Raw genomic sequence first — 24851 nt, forward strand, 5'->3', positions numbered from 1 at the left:
TCTTTTTAGTTCCTTTTAATATAGCATACAATTTGTACTCTTAATTTTCTTTTCACAATATCCAGAGTAGTTGTCTTATTTAAATTCTGCATTTGTAAGATTTTTAAATTTTTATTTTACTATTTTTTTAAAAAAAGATAAAGACAGAGTCTCACTATGCTGCCCAGGCTGGTCCTGAACTCCTGGCCTCAAGTAATTCTCCTGCCTTAGCCTCCCAAAGTATTGCCACGATGCTTGGCCAGATTTTTTTCATTATGATAATGTTTTTGTATTTCTCCATTCCCTGGATATCTATCTGTTTAACTGGAAGTTAAGTCTAGAGGTATAAATCCATTCAGGCTAAGGAGTTTTTGTTTGTTTGTTTCTAAACTTCGTAAGTATTGCGTCTACATCATTTCATCCCAATAGGAGACACATTATTTTAGGTTGTCTCCCTATTTGTGGTGCTATATTTGATCACATGAGTAAAGTAATGACTATCAAGTATCTACATTATTGGAAATAGGTTTTTCTTATGGAGATTAACAAGTACTCTACAGTATGTCATTTTGACATTATTTCTGAAGCAACTTTTTAATTAATAATTTTGTTACATTGAAGGTTGTAGAATGGTGGGTTGTTTTCTTAATTCTGTCCTGGTCTCTGCATTTATTGACTGTTATTCTTCTATAGAAAACGTTTTCTCTCATCAGCCAGGAGTAAACAGCCTTTCTCCTGTATATCAAAAGTGGTATAAATGCCTAATTCTCTCTCTCTCTTTTTCTTTTAAATGACCAATTTTCACAGTAAGGAGTTGGTGTAATACTTCCAGTGGTAGGAAACAAGTTACAGGTTGAGTACTTTATGTCTGAAATGCTTGGGACTAGAAGTCTTTCTGATTTTAGATTTTTTTTTTTTGATTTTGGAATATTTGCATATATAATGAGTTATCTTGGCGGTGGGACCCAAGTCTAAATACAAAATTTATTTGTTTCATGTATACCCTATACACATAGCCTGAAGGTGATTTTGTACAATATTTTAAGTGATTTTGTGCATGAAACATAGTTTTGACTCCGTTTTAACTGAGACTTTGTACATGAGGTCAGGTGTGGATTCTCCAGTTGTGGCATCATGTCAGTGCTCCAGTTCTGGAGCATTTCAGAGCATTTTGGTTTGCATTATAAGAAGAACATAAATTTCTGTGAGGATTTTGGTTTTTCAGATTAGGAATGCTCAATCTGTATTTTAAAAATACTTTGTAAATAAAACTGCTCTTTTGTTTTCAGAGCTGGTATAGTCATCATAAACTTGCAGTCTTTTCAGATCTTACCCATTTGGTTGATGTATCTAAGGAGCATGCTACTTTTAATCTTAGTTTTCAGAAATGATTATATCACTTAAAATTGATGGGAAAAGCCAATCCTTTTCCCCTTCTTTTCATCTTTTCAAATAAAGAATGATAGTAAGGGATTATCATTATATAGAGATATTATTTTATAAAGCACTTTAAATAATCTACCCTCTAATATCTTAATAAGTCATCTTTGATTAAGGGAACAGGATTTTTATAGTGATTGGTAATCAGTAGGATTGATTTAATTAATAAAGGCAAGATTTATTGAAATTCTGTGAGTGTTGTGGGAATTAAGTTAAATGTGAAAAAACAGCCTGGAAGTTATGTCACTTGTAGCACTCCACTTGGAATGACCGGTATGACTCATATTGATATTCCATCTGTTATGTCAGATCTCCTTTGTGTTAGTGTATATTTCATATAACCCTACAGTGCTTCTGACACTGGCAGCTGTATTTTTTTCCTGTGACTTTGCATTATAAGAAGAACATATTATATAATATAAAGAGTGTTGTAGTCGTCATAAAATGGTTTCATAATTTTGATCTACATTTGCCATTTGATTTCTTTGTCCTCTCACATTTGTGTTTATACGATAAGGTTAAAAATAGCAATATTTATACCTATTTTTCTGTGTTGCTGGGACACTAGGTTTATAACTATGATGTAATTTATTTTGTGACAATCATTTGTTTAAATATTTGTTTCCCTTGCTAACTTATCTGTTCCTCCTACAAAGAGATCAGATGTCATTAATCTTTGTATCTCTAGTGCTTGGCATGGTGTCTCAGAGTAATAGGAAACTTAGTGAATTATTTTGAACTATTCCCCACTGTAGATGTATGGCACTGTATTAGGCATGGTAGTCTCTATTTTGACAATGAAAGTGATAGGTCAGTTCAGTATTTTTAAATTCTTTTATTTATTTTTTTCTTTCTTTCTTTCTTTTTTTGTTTTTTGTTTGTTTTTTTTTTGAGACAGGGTCTCGCTCTTTTGCCAGGCTGGAGTGCAGTGGCACGATCTCAGCTCACTGCAACCTCCGCCTCCCAGGTTCAAGCGATCCTTGTGCCTCAGCCTGCCAAGTAGCTGGGACTACAGGCGTGTACCACGCCCAGCTAATTTTTTTTTGTATTTTTAGTAGAGACGGGGTTTCACCATGTTGGCTAGTGTGGTCTCGATCTGTTGACCTCGTGATCCACTTGCCTCGGTCTCCCAAAGTGCTGGGATTACAGGCATGAGCCACCACCCCTGGTCCTTTCCTTATTTTTCTATAGAAATTTTGATGAGATTCTACTAAAGTTCTTCTGGAATTTATTCACTTTGAAATGGTTCATGGTGTATAGAGTTTCCTTGTTCTGGTATTACATAATTGTTTCATATAGCAATCTATGAAGCCTGTTAATATCATTGGAAATAATCCTATATGGAGATGCTAATTAGTTAACTGTACCTGTAAACTTGTGAGTGATGAAAATAATGGTTATTTTTATATCATTTCACATTTATATATAATTCTCTAAATATTGCTTATGCTTCAAAATTATGATAGAGCCTATAATTTAATATATTAACAAAAAAGCCCTTATACTACTTATATTTTAATTTTTTAAAATCTTAAGTATTATATTTTGTGTTTTAATTTCATTCTGGGAAAGTGGTTCTTGGCTTGCTAAAAGGATCCACACTACAGAAATGTTTTAGAACCCTTTATCAAAAAGGTTGAAGCTTGCTGATGTGATTTTACCCGTTTCAGCTAGCACATTGGAAGATACCTCTTTCACTAGTGACTCTATTCACCTTGTCTGGCTAAGTCTTGTTAATTCACTTAATAAGAGATAGTCCCTATGCATAGAGTCTGCTTGCTGGTTAGTTGCAAATGCACAAACAGGGTCTTAAGGAAGGAAAACCCTTTGTGGAGGAAGGACAGCATGCTAGGGGATAAATATTAGCCTGGTTTTGGAGATAGTTCTTCAAAAGGAAATCAATTCCAAGCTGGGACCTAAAAGATTAGAAAATAATGATTCAGTGCCTGGCACCATAAATATTATTTGAATGAAAGAGGCAAGAAAAATATGGTACATTTGAAATAGATTGTGAACCATAGTCTGTATAGTGGACTCATTAGTTTGTTGTGCACAGATATGTTTTTCAATGTGTTCTCATTTCTGCAACATTTTATAAATCCTTCATGCCTGTTTAGATATCTGTATTCAGTGGAGGGTTTATAACTCAGCAACCACTCATACAGTTGGTTTGCACAATGCTTTATAGTAGCTGGTAAGCAATTACTTACAATTCTTCTTAATTATTTACTTTCAGCTTTGAGTATTTTTGCTGTTCTGAATATTGACTTATTACTTGATTATGAGCAAGGATGCAGAAAGTGCTCAATTCTCAATGATGTGGAAGTCTGGATTTTTTCCTTCTTTTTTTAATTAGCAAGTGCTAGTCAGCAGCTACCCAGCTTTGTACAAAAAGTAATTGGGGTTAGCCATGGCTTCTAACCATTAATCAGCTTGTATCATTAGGTGACATTTTATTTTGCTTTGCTAGTTTCTGGTTCATATTTACTCTTCTAACCCTTCTGATTGGTGTACATACATATACACACACATACATAGAGGACATGTTTTAGTGAGGAAACTGCATTGCTATTTGTAAATGCATAGATACCTCAGTAGCTGGGTTTTTTCCCTTAAATTATTATTTGTCTTACAGTTTTAAAAATGTTTTTGTGAGATAAAATGATGTATTTTCTAGCACTCTTCATTTAAGTCCTTCCCACTAGTAAATCATAAGTTTACTAATGTGATTAAGAAATGCGACATTATAAAATGAGGTAGGAGCCGGGCACATTGCTTATAATCCCAGTGACCCAGGAGGCTGAGATGGGGGGACCAACACTTGAGGCCAGGAGTTTGAGACCAGCCTGGCCAACATACCAAGATCCTGTATCTAAAAAAAATTTTAAAAAATTACCTGGGCGTGGTGGCACGTGCCTGTAGTCCCAGCTACTTAATTGGGAGGCTGAGATGGAAGACTTGCTTGAACCAAGAAGTTAAGGCTGCAGTGAGCTCTGATCCCACCATTGCACTCTAGCCTGGGTTACAGAGTAAGAGCCTGTCTGGAAAAAAAATTAAAAAATTAAGTAAAATGAGGTAGTTCTCTGCACACTGGCTGAATTATATTTGTTAGCTTCTGAACTTTTATTAATTGACGTTTTATAAAAAGATATGTAATTTCTTTTTTATTTTAATTTTTAATTTGTTTATTTTATTATTATTATACATTAAGTTTTAGGGTACATGTGCACAATGTGCAGGTTAGTTACATATGTATACATGTGCCATGCTGGTGTGCTGCACCCATTAACTCGTCATTTAGCATTAGGTATATCTCCTAATGCTATCCCTCCCCCCTCCCCCCACCCCACAACAGTCCCCAGAGTGTGATGTTCCCCTTCCTGTGTCCATGTGTTCTCATTGTTCAATTCCCACCTGTGAGTGAGAACATGCGGTGTTTGGTTTTTTGTCCTTGCAATAGTTTACTGAGAATGATGATTTCCAATTTCATCTATGTCCCTACAAAGGACATGAACTCATCATTTTTTATGGCTGCATAGTATTCCATGGTGTATATGTGCCACATTTTCTTAATCCAGTCTATCATTGTTGGACATTTGGGTTGGTTCCAAGTCTGTGCTATTGTGAATAGTGCTGCAATAGACATATGTGTGCATGTGTCTTTAAAGATATGTAATTTCAATAGGCCTTAACACAGTAGTTACAATTTTTAATTTAAATTGGCTTTTTCCAAAATATAACTAATAGATCCTCCAATGACATACTCCAGTCCTTCTTTACCCATACATGTAACCATATATGTTTTAAAATTTATATTAGGAAGTTTTAACCCTCTAATAATTATCTAATTTGGTTAAAGGTATTTTCATGGGGTATGTAATATGGCTAATAAAAACAGTATTGCTTGTTAGAATACTTTTTACTAGTTTAGGGAAGTTTATGTAAAACAAACAAAACATGCCAAAAAGTTGATTGCATGATTTTTGTTTTTAAAGCTGATCTTACTCAAACCAGTTTACCTGTGTTTGTCACTGTTACACTTAAGAATATAAATAAATTCCTTTTAGTCTTCATTCATTCATTCATTTTTTGAGACGGAGTCTTGCTCTGTTGCCCAGGCTGGAGTGCAGTAGTGTGATCTCGGCTCACCACAATCTCCGCCTCCAGGTTCAAGCAATTCTCCTGCCCCAGCCTTCTGAGTAGCTGGGATTACAGGTGTGCGCCACTGCACCCAGCTAATTTTTGTATTTTTTTAGTAGAGACGGGGTTTTGCCATGTTGGCTAGGCTGGTCTTGAACTCCTGACCTCAGGTAATCCGCCTGCCTCAGCCTCCCAAAGTGTTGGGATTACAGACGTGAGCCACTGCGTCCAGCCCTTTTAGTCTTTTTAAAAGAAAGACATATTTTTAGACAACAGTATTATAAACATGTCCTGGACAACAAAATCCAAGAACAAACCAGGCCCATAGCCACTTCCTGGGAAACGTTAAAAATACTATAAAATGTACATGATGGAATAACACTGCAAAACGAATTTAGGAGACCATGTAGGTTGGTTGACTGGGTGGCATACATTTCTGTCTTGTATGGGACCTATTCAGAAAAGACATGAAGTGATGCTATTAAATAGATCTGTGAAACTTCTAGTTCAGCAGCTGCATTCATTTTTTTTTCAATTTTTTAATTCCCATTCTTATTTATTAGCTGTGACTTTGAGGCCAGAATTAAAACAAATATTTTAGTGGCAGCATTTATGATTTGTTTAGAAGTACCAGATTGATCCCCATGGTTAGATCTGGGCAGATTCAATATGGGCAGTGTAAATTTGTTGCTCTCAGGGACAAAGTGAATAACATTTTCAAGGAACTTTAAAAAAAATTAATAAACTTTATTTTTTATTTTTATTTTTTTGAGATGGAACCTCGCTCTGTTGCCTAGGCTGGAGTGCAGTGGCACAATTTCAGCTCACTGCAACCTCCACCTCCCGGGTTCAAGCGATTTTCCTGCCTCAGGCTCCTGAGTAGCTGAGATTACAGGCACGTGCCACCACACCTTGCTAATTTTTTGTATTTTTAGTAGCGATGGCATTTCACCATGTTGCACGGGCTGGTCTCAAACTCCTGAGCTCAGGCAATCTGCCCACCTTGGCTTCCCAAAGTACTAGGATTACAGGTGTGAGCTACCACACCCGGCCGGAATCTTCTTTTGCCTGGCTAACTCTTACACTGATTCCTATCTTAAATATCATTTAAGAAGTCTTCCCTGAGTCTACATAAAATGTCATGTTCCCCTTCCTCCTTCACCTTGTCACCTAATTGGGCAAGCTAGTTAATCTGCTTGTCACACTCAATGCTTCAGTTTCCTCATCAATAAAATGGGGGCTAGTAATGATATCTAAAATAATACCTGGCCAGGTGCACTGGCTCACACCTTTAATCTCAATACTTTGGGAGGCCAAGGCAGGTGGATAGCTTGAGCTCAGGAGCTAGAGACCAGCCTAGGCAACATGGTGAAACTCTGTCTCTACAAAAAATACAAAAATTAGCTGGGTGTAGTGGTGCACTCCTGTAGGTCTAGCTACTTGGGAGGCTGAGGCAGGGGGATTGCTTAAGCCTGGGAGGCAGAAATTGCAGTGAGCTGAGATCGCGCCACTGTGCTCCAGCCTGGGTGACAGAGCAAGACCCTGTCTAAAAAAAAATAAAAAATAAAATAATATCTAACAAATAGAGTAACCTCAATAGATATTAGTTGTTTCTGTTTTCATTATTATCAATCACCTTCATCCTAGTTTTTAAATTATTTACATCCATCAGAGTATCTTTTCAATGTGTTCGCTGTTAGAGGTAAGCTTTTGTTAATATTTTGTCCCCAAGTATTAGCCCAGTAGCTTTCACATACTTGATACTGAGTAAGTGTACATTGAATAATTACAATAATTAATTACATTGGATTGCTTCATAATTGTAATCATGGAAAAAATATAGCAGGGCAAAATTAAGACATTTATTCAATGTTGTTATTCATTTGTTGAATAAAATCAACTTATGTCTAAATTGTGGTTTGAATAAGAATTGTCTGGCCGGGCACGGTGGCTCACGCCTGTAATCCCAGCACTTTGGGAGGCCGAGGCGGGTGGATCACAAGGTCAGGAGATCGAGACCATCCTGGCTAACATGGTGAAACCCCGTCTCTACTAAAAAATACAAAAAATTAGCCAGGCGTGGTGGCGGGCACCTGTAGTCTCAGCTGCTTGGGAGACTGAGGCAGAAGAATGGCATGAACTTGGGAGGCGGAGCTTGCAGTGAGCCAAGATGGTGCCACTGCACTCCAGCCTGGGCGACAGAGCGAGACTCTTGTCTCAAAAAAAAAAAAAAAAAAAAAAAAAGAATCGTCTCCATCTCTATATATTGGGAGTGATACATGATGGCAAATTATAATACATGCAGATACATATCACAGATAACTAAAACTGAAATATGTAATAGATAGTAATTTAAAATACCCCATGGAGGCTGGAAGCGGTGGCTCATCCCAGTAATCCCAACACTTTGGGAGGCCGAGGAGGGCGGATTACTTGAGGTTGGGAGTTCGAGACCAGCCTGGCCAACATGGCGAAACCTCATCTCTACTAAAAATACAAAAATTAGCTGGGTGTAGTGGCACACGCCTGTAATCCCAGCTACTGGGGAGGCTGAGGCAGGAGACTCGCTTGAGCCAGGAGGCAGAGGTTGCTGAGATGGTGCCACTGTACTCCAGCTTGAGTGACAGAGTGAGACTCCGTCTCAAAAAGAAAAAAAAAAGGACCCCATGGAAATGACATTTTTATGTAATAAGAACAATAGATTAGTATACTATTATGTTTTTGGACAACAAACTATTTCTTATTTATCAAACTATCGTTAGAAACATAAGGAAGAAATCCTCAATTCTGTGCAATAAGCCTGACATGAACCTTTAATTCAGTAAATAATTGATTTGCTTTTCAGAGGCATTACTTCTGCCAGCTGAGCAACTGAGAAATGTAAAGTACAACACATCTACATTTTAAATAATTACCCCTCCTTGGCAGGGAAATTGCTTTTCCATCCATTAATAAGAGGAAAATGAGTGTTGAATCTCTAGCAAAACAGAGTAAATATGTACCCCTTTAGATGCTTGGCTGCATCTTTAGCAGACTTGAAATTCTTCTGGTTACTTAAATGATACATATTAAAAGGTGATTGTGGTCTTGGGTTAATTGTTAAAGAAGTTTAGGTTTTTCTTTTTGGACATAAAGGTTTTCCCATTGTCTAGCAAGTGGTTAGAGAAATACCATGTCTTGATTTATTTTTAACATCTATAATGCATCACAGATCTACAGCATAACATAGCTTGAGATTTTTAATCTGACAGCTTCTGGTTTATCACTACCAGACACCTATATTATTTCATTCACAATGCAAAGGCAACTTGAAGAATTTATTTCCTTTTTTCATTAGAAGAGGATGTTTCCATAGTAGGTTTGTACTTACTCTCTTGTTTCATCATCTTGTAAAGTGGTGTCCTTTACTCATGTAATGGATTTACTCTCTGAAGAATTAGTTCTGTTTGCTCTCTGTTCATTGTGGCACTGTAGTTGTGTAAGAGAGGGATCTTTGTAGGGGTGACTTACGATTAGGTAGTAGGTACAGTGTCTAGGGACCACAATACTTTTAGAACCTCGCTATAATTTTCTGATTTCTTTAAAAGCAGAAAAAAAAACATGGTTTTAAGTTAATAGAATGGAGTAAAAAAATATAACTTTAAGTATTTTTTCCTGAAGGAGAGTGCCCATGAAGACAAAAATGCCCAGGTCCCACCTAAAGTCCTAATGTAGCCCTGGGTTCCATCAGTAAGTGAAGAGCCTTTTCCATTCTTCATCACTATTGCCACAGCACTACCACTTAATTGAATAAAGGTGCTCAGTTGATAGTGAATGAACTCATGGAATATGTGAATGCATACATTGGGATACTATGTAAAAATGTGAAATCAACATATATACCTGTAAAAATAGACCTGTCTACAACAAATATAACATAAATACTTACAATAATATAAACATAGTATTTAATTTTGCAAAAGGTAAAGAAGGATCTGTATAGTCAGGTACATACATGCAAAGCAGCTGTTGATTTCAACTTTTCATTTATCAGTATACCCTTACTAGTTGTTAAACACTGAAGTACTTGAATACTTCTTGCCTGTCCCAGTAGCCTCTGAGCCTCCCTCCCTGGTGGGGGATGGTGGGCACCTTGTTTCACTATTCTTATTCAGATTGGCCTGTATCTTGCCATACATTAAATATTTTTTGAACATTGCTCTAAAAACAGCCTAAATATTTCCCAAAGATATATATTCATTTCAAAGAGATTTATTATATATAGTAAGGTGGGTACCTGTGGTCGGGAGCAGTGAGAAATGAAGAGTGGGTGCAGGAACGGAGAAGCAAAGAGAAAATGTAAAAACAGTAAGAGGCTGGGTGCAGTGACTCATACCTGTAATCCTAGCACTTTGGGAAGCCAAGGTGGGCGAATCACTTGGGTTCAGGAGCTTCAGACCAGCCTTCCAACATGGTGAAACCCCATCTCTACTAACAATACAAAAATCAGCCGGGTGTGGTGGCTCATGCCCGTAGCTGTAATCCCAGCTACTTGGGAGGCTGAGGCGTGAGAATTGTTTGAACCCAGGAGGTAGAGGAATACAATGCAATGCAATGCAATGCACATAGCAAGAGAAGGTTTATGTATGGACTTATTAACATAGACGAAATGAAAAATCTGATTAATTCTTCCATGCATCTGAAGTCTAAAAAGGATATCTAGAATGCTAAGAAAGTGGAAGTAATGTTTATCAATTAGAATTGAGAATTAATAAATGTGATGTTAATATAGTTTTAAGAGTACAACAATGTAAAATAATACTATCAAATACAATTATAGTTAATTAAATAATTTATACTATAATTGATATAGTAATTAAAAATGAACTGATTTTATAATTTTCTCTTTGTTCCTTTGATTGTTTCTAAGAAGACATTGAATAAGTAAATATATAATTTGGTTGTGCACAGAATGCCTGCCTACCCAGTCATCTTTTTTATGGATCAGCCATTTTTCTTATATATACTTGTTCTGTAACATAGTCACAGAGTCATGCTTTGATACTGCTCCTGTAGGTAATCAAACCTAATTTCCAGAGACACTTGGTCATTTGGTAATATTTTCAACATATGCTCATATACCCAAAATGTGTTAACTGATGTACAATTTGATACAGCATGCTTGATGACTATCTTTGAAACTTTATCTTTCATCTAATCATTATCATTTGTTACTTAGTTACTTACTTTCTGAACATTTGGACCAGAACCCTGATTCATGTCTGTTATATTTTCATTTAAGTACTATGATACATGGTTCTTTGAGCACCCATTTAGCCAAGCTGAGACTCACTGACCTTTTTTTTTTTTATACTTTAAGTTTTAGGGTACATGTGCACAACATGCAGGTTATTTACATATGTATACATGTGCCATGTTGGTGTGCTGCACCCAGTAACTCGTCATTTAACATTAAGTATATCTCCAAATGCTATCCCTCCCCCCTTCCCCCCACCCCACAACAGGCCCTGGTGTGTGATGTTCCCCTTCCTGTGTCCATGTGTTCTCATTGTTCAATTCCTACCTATGAGTGAGAACATGCAGTGTTTGGTTTTTTGTCCTTGTGATAGTTTGCTGAGAATGATGGTTTCCAGCTTCATCCATGTCCCTACAAAGGACATGAACTCATCCTTTTTTATGGCTGCATAGTATTCCATGGTGTATATGTGCCACATTTTCTTAATCCAGTCTATCATTGTTGGACATTTGGGTTGGTTCCAAGTCTTTGCTATTGTGAATAGTGCCATAATAAACATACATGTGCATGTGTCTTTATAGCAGCATGATTTATAATCCTTTGGGTATATACCTAGTAATGGGATTGCAGGGTCAAATGGTATTTCTAGTTCTAGATCCCTGAGGAATCGCCACACTGACTTCCACAATGGTTGAACTAGTTTACAGTCCCACCAACAGTGTAAAAGTGTTCCTATTTCTCCACATCCTCTCCAGCACCTGTTGTTTCCTGACTTTTTAGTGATCGTCATTCTAACTGGTGTGAGATGGTATCTCATAGTGGTTTTGATTTGCATTTCTCTGATGGCCAGTGATGATGAGCATTTTTTCATGTGTCTTTTGGCTGCATAAATGTCTTCTTTTGAGAAGTGTCTGTTCATATCCTTCACCCACTTTTTGATGGGGTTGTTTGTTTTTTTCTTTTAAATTTGTTTGAGTTTATTGTAGATTCTCGATATTAGCCCTTTGTCAGATGAGTAGATTGCAAAAATTTTCTCCCATTCTGTAGGTTGCCTGTTCACTCTGATGGTAGTTTCTTTTGCTGTGCAGACGCTCTTTAGTTTAATTAGATCCCATTTGTCAGTTTTGGCTTTTGTTGCCATTGCTTTTGGTGTTTTAGACATGAAGTCTTTGCCCATGCCTATGTCCTGAATGGTATTGCCTAGGTTTTCTTCTAGGGTTTTTATGGTTTTAGGTCTAACATGTAAGTCTTTAATCCATCTTGAATTAATTTTTGTATAAGGTGTAAGGAAGGGATCCAGTTTCAGCTTTCTACATATGGCTAGCCAGTTTTCCCAGCACCATTTATTAAATAGGGAATTGTTTCCCCATTTCTTGTTTTTGTCAGGTTTGTCAAAGATCAGATGGTTGTAGATATGCGACATTATTTCTGAGGGTCACTGACCTCTTTTTTTTACCCCTCACCATATATCTGTTTTTTTTTTATATATCCTTCTCTGAATGGTGCGTTTTGAGTTTTTCTCTCTCTTTTTTTTTTCTTCCATGGGGGTGGGGTGGCTGCTCAAGTGTTTTAACTTTCTAACTGGTCTGTTAAACATCTTGCATTTTCCCTTTCTCCATTCACTCCATATAAAGCCAACAAGTTTATCTTGTCCTCACATTTATTTTTGTTTTTGTCTGTCTTCATTTTTATTGAATTGTAACTTACGTAATATAAGTTGCACCAATTTTAAGTATACGGCTTGTTGAATTTTATTTATGTATGTACCTCTCTAAGCAACATCCATAGTGTTTGAAAGATCTGTTTCACACATCTCTGAAATACACAGAATGCCCTTCCTACATTTAGAAATTCCTACATTTCCATATTTACCTTTCCAATTATTTTGTAGTCCTAACACATAAAGAATCTGCTTGATACAGATTGTTCTCCATGAAATCCTCTTCTTTATCTCTGCTTCCTGTCTTATGCTGTTCATAATTATTTCACTTTACTATCCCTTCTGTCTACCAAATTCCTACTAACCTCCATTCAAGGTGTACTTTATTATGCACTTCCAGCAATTATTGTCTATGACATGAATTTAGCATTAGTTGACTGTATCTGTATCTGTAATTTTTCCTTGAGGCTGGTTACAGTCTGATACTACCATGTAGATATGTATAGATCTTGAGTACTAAACTTTGTGTTGGGACATAATATACACCAGAAACTAACACTCATTTATCCTTAGACTTTTCCAATTATATTTCTCACTCTTTTTTTTTTGAGACGGAGCTGGAGTGCAGTGGCAAGATCTCGGCTCACTGCCATCTCCGTAGAGACGGGATTTCACCATGTTGGCCAGGATGGTCTCAATCTCCTGACCTCGTGATCCGCCAGCCTTGGCCTCCCAAAGTGCTGGAGTTACAGGCGTGAGCCACTGCACCCGGCCAAAATTTGTATGGAATTTCAAAGGACCTAAAATAGCCAAATCAATCTTGAAAAAGATGAGTAAATTTTAAAGACTTAAACTACCTAAATTTCTGAATTAATCTAAAGCTCACCAAGAAAGGGTTTTTAGGGAGTAAGTATAGACATAGATGAGTGAATGGAATAATGTCCAGAACAGTCATTTGATTTTTGACAAAAGTGGCAGGTAATTAAATAGGTGAAGTATAGTTTTTTCAACAAATGGTGCTAGAACAACTGCGGTATCTTTTGGTGGAAAAATAAATCTTTACTAACATCATACATAAAATTAACTCTAAATGGATAATAGGCTTAGCATAAACACTAAAACTATGAAACTTTAAAAAGAAAACGTAAGGTTATATCCTTAAACTTGGGATAGAAAAAGATTTCTTAGATAAACACCCAAACCACAAAATCTTCATCAAAATTGGAAATCTTTTGGGAAAATGTTAAATAGTGAAAAGCCATGCCACAGACTGGGAGAAAATTTCTGATAGAAGATAGATAGATAGATAGATAGATAGATAGATAGATAGATAGATAGATATTGAAAACATACAATTTAAAATGAGGAAAAGATTTTAAACAATCATGTCACAAAAGAAAATATTTAAAAGCCAGTAAGCACACAAAAAACTGATCAACATCACTGATAACCAAGGAATACTGGCAAATTAAAACTGTGAGAATACCAATTGAAATTATTAAAAAGACTGACAGTATCAAATGTTGGTGAAGTTATGGAGCTTGTGAGAATGTAAAATTATACAACCACATTGGAAAATAGTTTGGCAGTTTCTTATAAATATTTAATATATGACCCTGCAATTTCTCTCCTAAATATTCACCCAAGGAAAAGAAAAACATGTCCACATGGAGACTAGTATTTGAATGTTCATAGCTGTTTGAGTTACAATATTAAAAAACTAGAAACAGGCCAGGTGCGGTGGCTCACACCTATAATTCCAGCACTTTGGGAGGCCGAGGTGGGTAGATCACTTGAGGCCAGGAGTTTGAGACCAGCCTCGTCAACATGGTGAAACCCTGTCTCTACTAAAAATACAAAAAATTTAGCCAGGTGTGGTGACAAACCCCTGCAATCCCAGCTACTCAGGAGGCTGAGACAGGAGAATCACTTGAACCTGGAGACAGAGGTTGCAGTGAGCTGAGATGGTGCCACTGCACTCCAGCCTGGTTGACAGATCAAGACTCCATCTCAAAAAAAAGAAAAAACAAAAAACTAGAAACAGCTACGGAATGGATATATAAATTGTGGTATGTATTTAAAATGGAACACTAGTCAGCAATATAAATCAATGAATGACATACTGCTACTTGTAGCAAATAGACTGAGAAAATATTGTGTGATTATATTTCATTAAATTCTAAAACAGGCAGTATTCATCCCGCATAATAGAAAGCTGATGAGTGGTTGCTTGGGGCCAGGTGGTTGGGGAGAGGATGGTTTGCAAGTGAACACAAGGGAACTTTTTTTGAATGCTCTTTCTCTTGACTATGGTAGTAGTTACACAGGTATATGTATTTGTCAGATTCATCATACTGTACATCTAAAATGAATCTATTGTATATAAATTATGTATTCATAAAGGTTAAAGTTTTAAAAAACATTCTGGCAATGGACAAATATTCTCAACAACCTGAAAAAATGAGAACACATGTACGTAGGCATACACCACTTTCTTAAATATCTATTTGGTAAGGAAATCTGTTAAAAATAATGAACATTAGAATGCTTAATATGAAAACTCACTGGAAATGACCAGAGATGTCTTCATAAGCCTGAAAATTGTACAATTCAAAGAGAAAGAAAATAATTAAATATTTAAATAATGATGTTAATACACTTCGAACTGCTAAAAATGCAGGAGGACGAATATAACAAATTAAAAAATAAAGTGAGCTAGAAAATCAGTTGTTCACTTTATATAGATTTTTCCACATGAAACAAATAAGGGCAATATCACTGATTTCTAATTTATGTTGGTTATGGATATATGCAACTTTTGTAAGGGATCAGCTAAATCATCTGCTTTGGTAGTGTTTACTTCAGTGCCTTTAACAGAGTGTTATGTAGCAAATTTGATAACGATATACTATATTTTAGGCTACTAAAGTGGAAGAATACATTGATGAGTTTGATTATTAGTGTTTGTAAGTAGCTTAAAAAATATGCTGCTGTAAGCTAGTTTATGCTGCCCATATGGAGACTTTGGGACCTTTGTTTTCCAGTATTCATATCCAGCTTGAAAGTTTTATTAATCTGACTTTAATAAGCTATGATATTATGATTTGTGTAAGCTGAGGAGGTTAACGCTTTCTTTCAGTACTGGGATTCTGTTTCTTTGCTTTTGTGTTTACAAATTTGGCTATTAACTTTTCTAAATAATTAAGTAATTTGTAAGTTTGTATCTATACAGGTGTTAATTGAAAAGTATTACATGAACAAGCATTAATGCCAAAGTATAAAATTCTTTTATGAATGATATAATCTGAATTCCTGTAAACATTTCTATTTGATTCAGCATAATCATGTTTATGTCTCTTTTTGGAAAAGAGTGTGAGTAGCTGGTAGTTTGTCTTCTAGTTCACATGTGTGTATATGATAAAGAACCATACAATTAGGTAGGTGTTATAAATAGGATATGGCAAAAAAGGCAAACCTACTCATGTTTCCAAGATTTTATAGCATATGCCTGGTGAAATTTTGCTATTCTTTAATTTTGCTTTTTGGGTTAACCAGCTGACGCCCAGTTGAAAAGACTTATGTTCGTGTGAGGCCACAAAAGCCTTAATGTTCAGTCTCCAGCTACCTCAGATTTTGGAGAACGCTGTGTACCATCAGCAGCTTGAATCCCCACCCTCTAACGCTAATGCTCATCTATCAAACTTGAGGCTAAGAGTGAGGGAGAGGAAGCTTCCAGATAAACATACAGAAGTGCCTAAACAGCTAATCACTCTAGGCTTCCGCTTCCAGGCCCTATAATTAGAAGTCCTTCTTTTTCCTTGTATTCCCAGATGACGCAAATGCTTTTTGTGGCTTGGCACCTCATTTGGGGCGTGGGTTTAGTTTATGGCCAGGCCAGAGTCTGGTTTAGTCTTCTGATGCAGCATAAATAGTTCTCAAGCCACAGTCTACTCTGCACAAGTTTTTCCTTTTATGTATATGTGCATTTTAACTTGTTTTCTAGAAGAAAAAAAAGCTTGCTATTTCCCTGGCAGAATGTGTGCAAAAGAGGAAATTCTAAATGAAAAGAAAGCACGTGACTATGTAGTCCTATACTAGCTATTTCTTTTTCTCCTTTCTGCTCTTTAAATTTTTTATATTATTTTTAAAATTTTGTGAAAAAAGTAAACTTACTGGTGGATTGTAGAAGCCACATTTGCATGGAGGGGTGGAAAAAAGTGTTTGAGATAGGATACAGAGAAGATAATAGGCATAATTTTTTAGTGGACATTTTCCTGAAAATTTGAATTTGTTTTACATAATCATAACTAAACAGAGATGAATGCCAGTTTGAAAAGCTAGGAACATATGGGAACGTGTTCATTTGTGATTTTCATTCATATGTAAAACAATAATAGTCTTGATTTGGCAAATGAGGACCTTTATTTGAATGCTCATTCTACATAAAATGGTATGATTTAAAACGAAATTTAATGAAGTTTATAGTAGGTGAGGAATATATGTTACAAATGCAAATTCATCTTATTTCCTGTCAGAATGATGTTTCTATTGAATTGTTTGTCAAGTGCAGAAAATTTGTTACAGAGAGGTGGAGTCAGAAGATAGTAGTGGATTTATGATCATTCAAACTTAGTATAACTCAGCAAAAAAGTAGGAGTGGCAAAACACTGTCTACAAATGGACAACAAAGCATTCATGCCTAAACTTAGGAATTCATTGTTTGAGGCCGGGTGCGGTGGCTCACACCTGTAACACCAGCACTTTGGGAGGCTGAGGTGGGCAGATTGCCTGAGCTCGGGAGTCAGAGACCAGCCTGGGCAACATGGTTGAAACCCCCTCTCTATCAAAATACAAAAAATTAGCTGGGCGTGGCGGCGGGCGCCTGTGGTCCCAGCTACTCGGGAGGCTGTGGCAGGAGAATTGCTTGAACCCGGGAGGCGGAGGTTGCAGTGAGCCAAGATTGTGCCACTGCACTCCAGCCTGGGTGACAGAGCAAGACTCCCATCTCCAAACAAAAACAAAACAAAACAAAACAAAACAAATTTATTGTTTGAATAACAGTAAGTAAAGAATATAAACTATGTCAATAACCTCATGATCATAGCTAGACATATAATGAGAGGTAAGGTTATATATATTGTTGTAGGTTTAATAATTTATTAAATTATTTATAATAAATGGTACCTTTCATTTTCTAAAATGTATTCTCTTGGAAATAGCCAGGACAGTGGCATCTAGTAGGATATTTTAATATAGTGACTAGAGCTGTACCTTATGTTTGCCAAAGAAATAGCAAACTCAAATTTACTTCATCTTTTCACTGAAATGACTATCTTGTCTTCCCACAGATGCTTAATATTCTTTCATGCCTTTTTGTTCAACAAAACATTAGTTTAAATGCTTATACTAATGTGATTCTGCTTCTGGGAATAGCAAGGTAAACGTAGAAACCATCCTTCCCATAGAAAACATTTATGAAACCTGGACAAAATACAACTGAACAGGCACATAAAGTTAGATATGTGTATTATAATCTCTGGAACAACCAGTAAAATTTTAATATAAAGAGATATAGCTCAAAAGTCCATAGATAAATTATTTATTTTTAACATTCAACAATAAATATTGTTAAAAATAAGTAGTCTCAAAACAGCAAGAAACCATGAGAAGAGAAATAAAACTGAATAAAATGTTGAAATTAGCATTTCATAAAAATTGAATATTCCAAATAAATAGTCCCATAACAGCAAGAAAACATGAAAAGAGAAATAAAAAACAGAAACAAGACAAGCAAAAATAATAATAAATTGGTAGACCTAAGTCCAGCCCTACCAGTAAGTACTAAATATGAATAAACTACAAATACCAATTAAAGGCAGTGATTTGATTGAAAGAGAGTGAGCGAGTGTGAGAGCACCCAACTGTTATCTAAAAGAAGCCTATATTGATAGATATAGAGTAGAAGAATGGAAAATATATACCATGCAAGTACCAATCAAAACAAAGTTGGAGTGGTAAAGTTAATATCAGAAAAAACTAGACCTCAGAGCAAGGAAAATAACCACGGTTAAATCATGTTAAAAGGGTTAATTGACCAAGACTTCATACAATCCTAAATGTGTATGAACCTTGCTCTAAAATTTAGGAAGCTGATATAACTTAGGAAAACTACACATGTCCACAATTATCCTTGGAGACTGTAACTCCTACTCAGTAATGGAACAGAAAGCAGTCAGTCAGTAAGGAAATTGAAGATGCAAACATCACTACCAATTACATACCTTTCTAGAATATATTCTAGGTGTTCAAGTGTATATGGAACAAGGATCATATTTCAAGCCATAAAACAAACTTTAACAAATGTAAAAGAAGTAACTTCTTGTCATAATGAAATTATACTGGCAATAATATCTGAAAGATATCTGGAAAATATCCAAATATTTGGTAACAAAACAATATACCTTTAAATAACCCACGAGCAAAAGACAAAGCAACTAGGAAACATTTAAAACTGAATATAAATGAAATTGCAGCATATCAAAATCTGTTACATTTAGCTAAGCAGGCTTAGAGGGACATTAATACCTATATGTGCTTACTCCAGAAAAGAAGAAAGTTCCTGAAACAATAATCTAAGCTGCTCCCATAAGAAACTCGAAAAAAGGAAGAGCAAATGAACCCAAAACAAGGAGAATAAAGGAAATAATAAATATAGTAACAGAAATCAGTGAAATTGAAAAGAGAAAAACAGAAAGTTATGAAACCAAATAGGTTAACCTTAAAAAGACCTTACCAGACTGGTGAAGAAAAAAAACAGAGAAGACACAGATTACCAATATCGTGAATGAAAAAGTGGATATCATTAATGTCTCTACAGATATTAAAAGGATGAATTCCTTGAATTACAGAAAGTAATTCATCAAAGAAGAAATTTTAAATTAAAAAATTAACAAAATATTTAATGGTAGTTAAAAATCTTCAAAAATAGGCCCAAATATTTTTACTTGAAAATTCCCTTAAACATTTAACGAAGAAATAATAGCAATCCTACATCTTTTTTTTCCCCAGAAATTAACAGAGTAAGGAGCATTCCCATTTGATTATTTGAGGCCTGGATTATCCTAAATATCAAAATCATCCAAACACATTATTAGAAAAGAAAACCACAAATCAGTATTTCTCAGGGACACAGATAAGAAAATATTCAAGAAAATATTAGAAAATTGAATCTAGCTGCTTATAATAAAGGATTTTGACCAAACGAGGCTTATCCCAAGAATGCAAGGCATATTCAACATTTGACAATCAGTTATTGTTAGAATTCGCTATATTAATAGATTTAAAAAGAGAAGCCACATAATCATTTCAATAGCTGCAGAAAAGCACTTGAAAAATTCAATTTTCTTTCATTATAAAAACTCTCAACATATTTTACGAAGGACTTTTACAAAAAACCTATACATAATGTTATACTTAAAGATTGAATGCTTTCCTCCTACAACACAGAAATCTCTCCTTCCTATTTCTGCTTGCCTCAGCAAATGCAGTAAGTCGAGAAAATTGAAGAAAAGGCATGTAGGTCAGAAGGGAAGAAATGAAACTGTGATTGTTCCTAAACTACGTAATTGTCATCAAAGAAAATTCTTGTACTGTATAAAAAAACCCCTAGAACTTGCAGGAAACATACATTGTCAAGATAAAAAATCATCAATTTTATCTCTATGCACTAGCAAGCAAAAATTGATCATTTTAAAAAATATTACCATTTATAATAACTCTAAAAGACAATATTTTCAGAATCTGTGTGTCAAACAAAAAGAAGTCAAAATAGATCTAAATCAAGAAATATGCTGTGTTAATAGATCAGAAGGCACAATATTAGGATAACAGTTGTCCCCAAATTAATTTATTACACTCAATACAGTTCCCTCAAAATCCTAAACAAGAATGGCTAAAATAATGTTGAAAAAGGCAGGAAAAGGCTCATTTTACCTGATTTCAAGATTTTCTGTGAAGTTACAGTAACCAAGAATGTGGTATTAGTGAATGTATAGACACAGAAATTGAATTAATAGAATAGAACTTCAAAAATAGGCCTTGGCCTGGCATGGTAGTTCACGCCTGTAATCCCAGCACTTTGGGAGGCTGAGGTAGGCGGATCTCTTGAGACCAGGAGTTTGAGACCAGCCTGGCCAACATGTCAAAACTCCATCTCTACTAAAAATACAAAAATTAGCCAGGCATGGTGGCGCACACCTGTAGTCCCAGCTACTTGGGAGATTGAGGCATGAGAATCTGTTGAACCCAGGAAGTGGAGGTTGCAGTGAGCCAAGAATGCACTACTGCACTCCAGGCTGGGTGACAGAGCGAGACTGTCTCAAATAATAATAATAATAACAATAAATAAAAAATAAAAAAATGCCAGGCATGGTGACTCATGCCTGTAATCCCAGCACTTTGGGAGGCTGAGTCCGGCGGATCATGAGGTCAGGAGATCGAGACCATCCTGGCTAACATGGTGAAACCCCGTCTCTACTAAAAGTACAAAAAATTAGCCGGGCATGGTGGCGGGCGCCTGTAGTCCCAGCTACTTGGGAGGCTGAGGCAGAAGAATGGCGTGAACCTGGGAGGCGGAGCTTGCAGTGGGCGTAGATCGCGCCACTGCACTCCAGCCTGGGAGACAGCGAGACTCCATCTCAAAAAGATATAGGCCTACACAAATAGCCAATTGATCCTTGGCAAGTTGACAATGTTACTTCAATGGAGAAAAAACAGTGTCTTCAAGAAGTCTTTCTGGAACAATTGGACATCTTATGCAAATAAGTTAACCTTGTCCATGTTTTGTATAGGATCCTCACCTTATAACCTGTTGTATAAGGTCCTCACACCTTATACAAATATTAAAATGATGATAGGCCTAAATGTAAAACATAAAATTATGAAACTTTTACAAGGAAAGAGAAGATCTTTGTGACCTTGGGTTAGGCAAAGAATTCTTAGCTATGACATCTCATCAAAATTAAGAACTTTCTCTGTAATAGACTCTATTGGCATTTTCAATAAATATCATGGTGAATTAAGTACAGGAAGTAGTAGTTGGATCAGTAGATAAATTGGAGCGTAGAATTAAAGCTTGAAGAAATTGCAAAAGAGGGAGTTTCATGGGGGGTATGTCATTTTCACATTCTTTGTTTTGAAAAATGATTGTGGCTGGGCACGGTGGCTCATGCCTGTAATCTCAGAGCTTTGAGAGGCCACAACAGAAGGATTGCTTGAGGCCCAGAGTTTGAGACCAGCCTGGGCAACATGGTGAGACCCTGTCTCTACAAAAATAAAAGAAAATTAGCCAAGCATGGTGGCATGTGCTTGTAGTCCCAGCTACTTGGGAGGCTGAGGCAGGAGGATCTCTTGAGCCCAGGAATTTGCGGCTGCAGTGAGCTGTGATCAGGCACCTGCACCCCAGCCTGGGCAACCGAGTGAGGTTCTGCTTCAGGAAAAAAATAAAATAAAATTATGAATTCTGTAAATTCAGGAATATCAAACTTCTCTCTGCTAGTTTTACAGGAATGCCATAATACTTGCACATCTAGTGTTTATACCTTGCTGATATACTGATGTGTCATTAAGCTTGGTATTCACATGAAAAAGATATTTTATTTTTTTCTTTTGTAAAGTTTCTTATAGCCTTGGTAATTTTTTTCCCATTGGTAATATTTTAAATATTGTGAATAGCTTTTTAGAATATTTCATCCACATACATAATCATTTTTATTTTTACCCTTTGTTTTTTGTCTTCCAGGAATGCTTCTAGTCACAACAGACACCCTTGGCCATGACTTTCATGTCTTCCAAATTCTGACTCATCCTTGGTCCTCATCACAATGTGCTGTCCACCATCTGTATACTCTTCACAGGGGAGAAACTGAAGCCAAAGTAAGCTGTATAATTTTTCAGAAGGCGATTTCTTGGTGTAATATGACATCTACTCTAGCTGGTCATTTATATTACATTGCAGCTTAATGTTGATGTTTGTGAGAAAATATTGCTGTCTGTGATAGAATGGGTTAGATAAATAGGGAAAAATTCCGTTTTGACCCAGTAAATACATAAGCACTAGATGAACATTTTTTTGTTTAAAAATTCAATGAATTTTGATAAAACAGTAGGGCTGTTTATCCTGCTTTTCCCAACCTGAGACCATTTCTTGCCCCAGGGAAAACTCCTGTCATTCATTTGCTGTCTCTCCAGACCTTTTACTAGGCATTTGGATTCTGTGTACATAAATATGTATGTGCATACATACACACACATATACATATAAACATGGACATATTCATATATACAAAAATAGTTTCATGATGAATATGGATATATGAATACAGTGGAGGCTAGTGAGAACCAGTTGCGCACATCCCTCCTTGGCACGGTATTTAGTGATATTATTTTGATTGCGTGAAATCACCCATGTTGGGACTATTTGATCATGAAAATTTGCAAACACTACAAATCAGGGCTATTTTTTTCCTCAGAGAGCTAGATTTTAAACATTTACCAGCAGATAATCACGTACACGTGCATGGGTACACATATGTTCATATGCATGATTTACTGAGCGCTTGTATCAGGTGCCACGCTAAGTGCTTCACATATATTTAATATTCTTATTTAATTTTTAATTTTTATTTATTTTTATTATTTTTTTTGAGTTGGAGTCTCGCTCTGTTGCCCAGGCTAGAGTGCAGTGGCGCTGCGATCTTTGGCTCACTGCAACCTCTGCCTCCCGGGTTCGAGCAATTTTCCTGCCTCAGCCTCCCAACCAGCTGAGATTACAGGCACCCACCACCATGCCTGGCTAATTTTTGCATTTTTAGTAGAGACGGTGTTTCACCATATTGGCCAGGCTGATCTCTTGACCAAGCTGGTCTCAAACTCCTGGCCTCGTGATCCACCCACTTCAGCCTCCCAAAGTGCTGGGATTATAGGCATGAGCCACCGCGCCTGGCCCACATATATTTAATATTCTTAATATCACATGGTAGATATTGTGTATTGTCTTAATCGCTTAAAATCTCAAACACCTTTTGTTTCATACCTTATATGCACTTGCCAATATAACACTGTATATATGTTATTCTACAAGATAGCCATTTGACCCTACTCTATTTATTGACTAGCCTATCATTTTCCAACAGTCTAAAGTGATGTTTCTCTTGAATTCCCACCAAAATAAATGACTATAATGGATTGAAATGTCTTAAATTTAGAGAACTTAAACGCTAATAGTTTATAAGAATATGTTTGAAAAAGTATTAGGCATTACTCTAGGTTGCTTATTTACTAACTCACTCTGAAAACTGATAAACCAAAAATATACAGTGTTTACCCCACTTTTCTTGTTATCAATTTAATAAGACAATCAAGTAGTTGATGAGGGAAAGTTTTTTCATTGAAATATTCTTTTTTTTTTTTTCCCTCAAGATGAAGTCTTGCTCTGTTGCCCAGACTGGAGTGCAGTGGTATGATCTCGGCTCACTGCAACCTCCACCTCCTGGGTTCAAGCAATTCTCCTACCTCAGCATCCTGAGTAGCTGGGATTACAGGCATGTGCCACCACGCCTGGCTAATTTTTGTATGTTTAGCAGAGAAAGGGTTTCACCATGTTGGCCAGGCTGGTCTTGAACTCCTGACCTCATGATCCACCTGCCTTGGCCTGCCAAAGTGCTGGGATTATAGACGTGAGCCACCGCGCCCAGCCTCACGGAAATATTCTAACATAAAACTGGCTTAAGTAAAATTTTAAAAATTATTTCTAAGGTTTCTTATACAATTATTATTATTAGTAGTAGTAGTATTTTGAGGACAGGGTCTTGCTCTGTTGTCCAGGCTGGAGTGCAGTGGCAGGATCATAGCTGAGTACAGCCTTGACCTCCTGGGCTCAAGTGATCCTCCTGTCTCAGCCTCCCAAGTAGCTGGGACTACAGGTGCATGCCACCACACCTGGCAATTTTTTCAGTTTATTTTCTTTTTTTGTAGAGATGACACTATGTTGTCTCACTGTGTTGCCCAGGCCAGTCTCAACCTCCTGAGCTCAAGTGATCCTCCTGCCTCAGCCTCCCAACGTGCTGGAATTGCAGGTGTGAGTCACCACCCTGGCCTATTCTTAATTTTTATGGGTACATAATAGTTGTACCTATTTGTGGGGTACATGTGATATTTTGATACAGGCATACAATGCGTAATGATCTCGTCAGACTAATTGGGATATCCATTGTTTCTTTGTGTTGGGAACATTCTAAATCCAATCCTCTAATTATTTTGAAATATACAATAAATTATTGTTAACTATAGTTACTTTTGCACTAAACTAACAAATCAGCTTCTAGATATAGTCTCACT

At 36.3% G+C, this 24851-nt stretch overlaps 1 protein-coding gene across 8 annotated transcripts in view; it reads left to right on the top strand.

Annotated features, from left to right (window-relative positions):
- The window catches only part of BCAS3 (BCAS3 microtubule associated cell migration factor), a 714981-nt gene that overhangs the window by 247114 nt on the left and 443016 nt on the right, over positions 1-24851 (top strand). For all 8 annotated transcript variants that reach the window (NM_001353144.2, NM_001353145.2, NM_001330413.2 and 5 more), the window contains exon 14: positions 22255-22388. In NM_001353144.2, coding sequence (NP_001340073.1) covers positions 22255-22388 — 134 coding nt within the window. The remainder of the gene's footprint in view (positions 1-22254; positions 22389-24851) is intronic.

This window comes from Homo sapiens, chromosome 17 (genome assembly GCF_000001405.40).
Source record: "Homo sapiens chromosome 17, GRCh38.p14 Primary Assembly".
NCBI classification, from domain to species: Eukaryota; Metazoa; Chordata; class Mammalia; order Primates; family Hominidae; genus Homo; species Homo sapiens.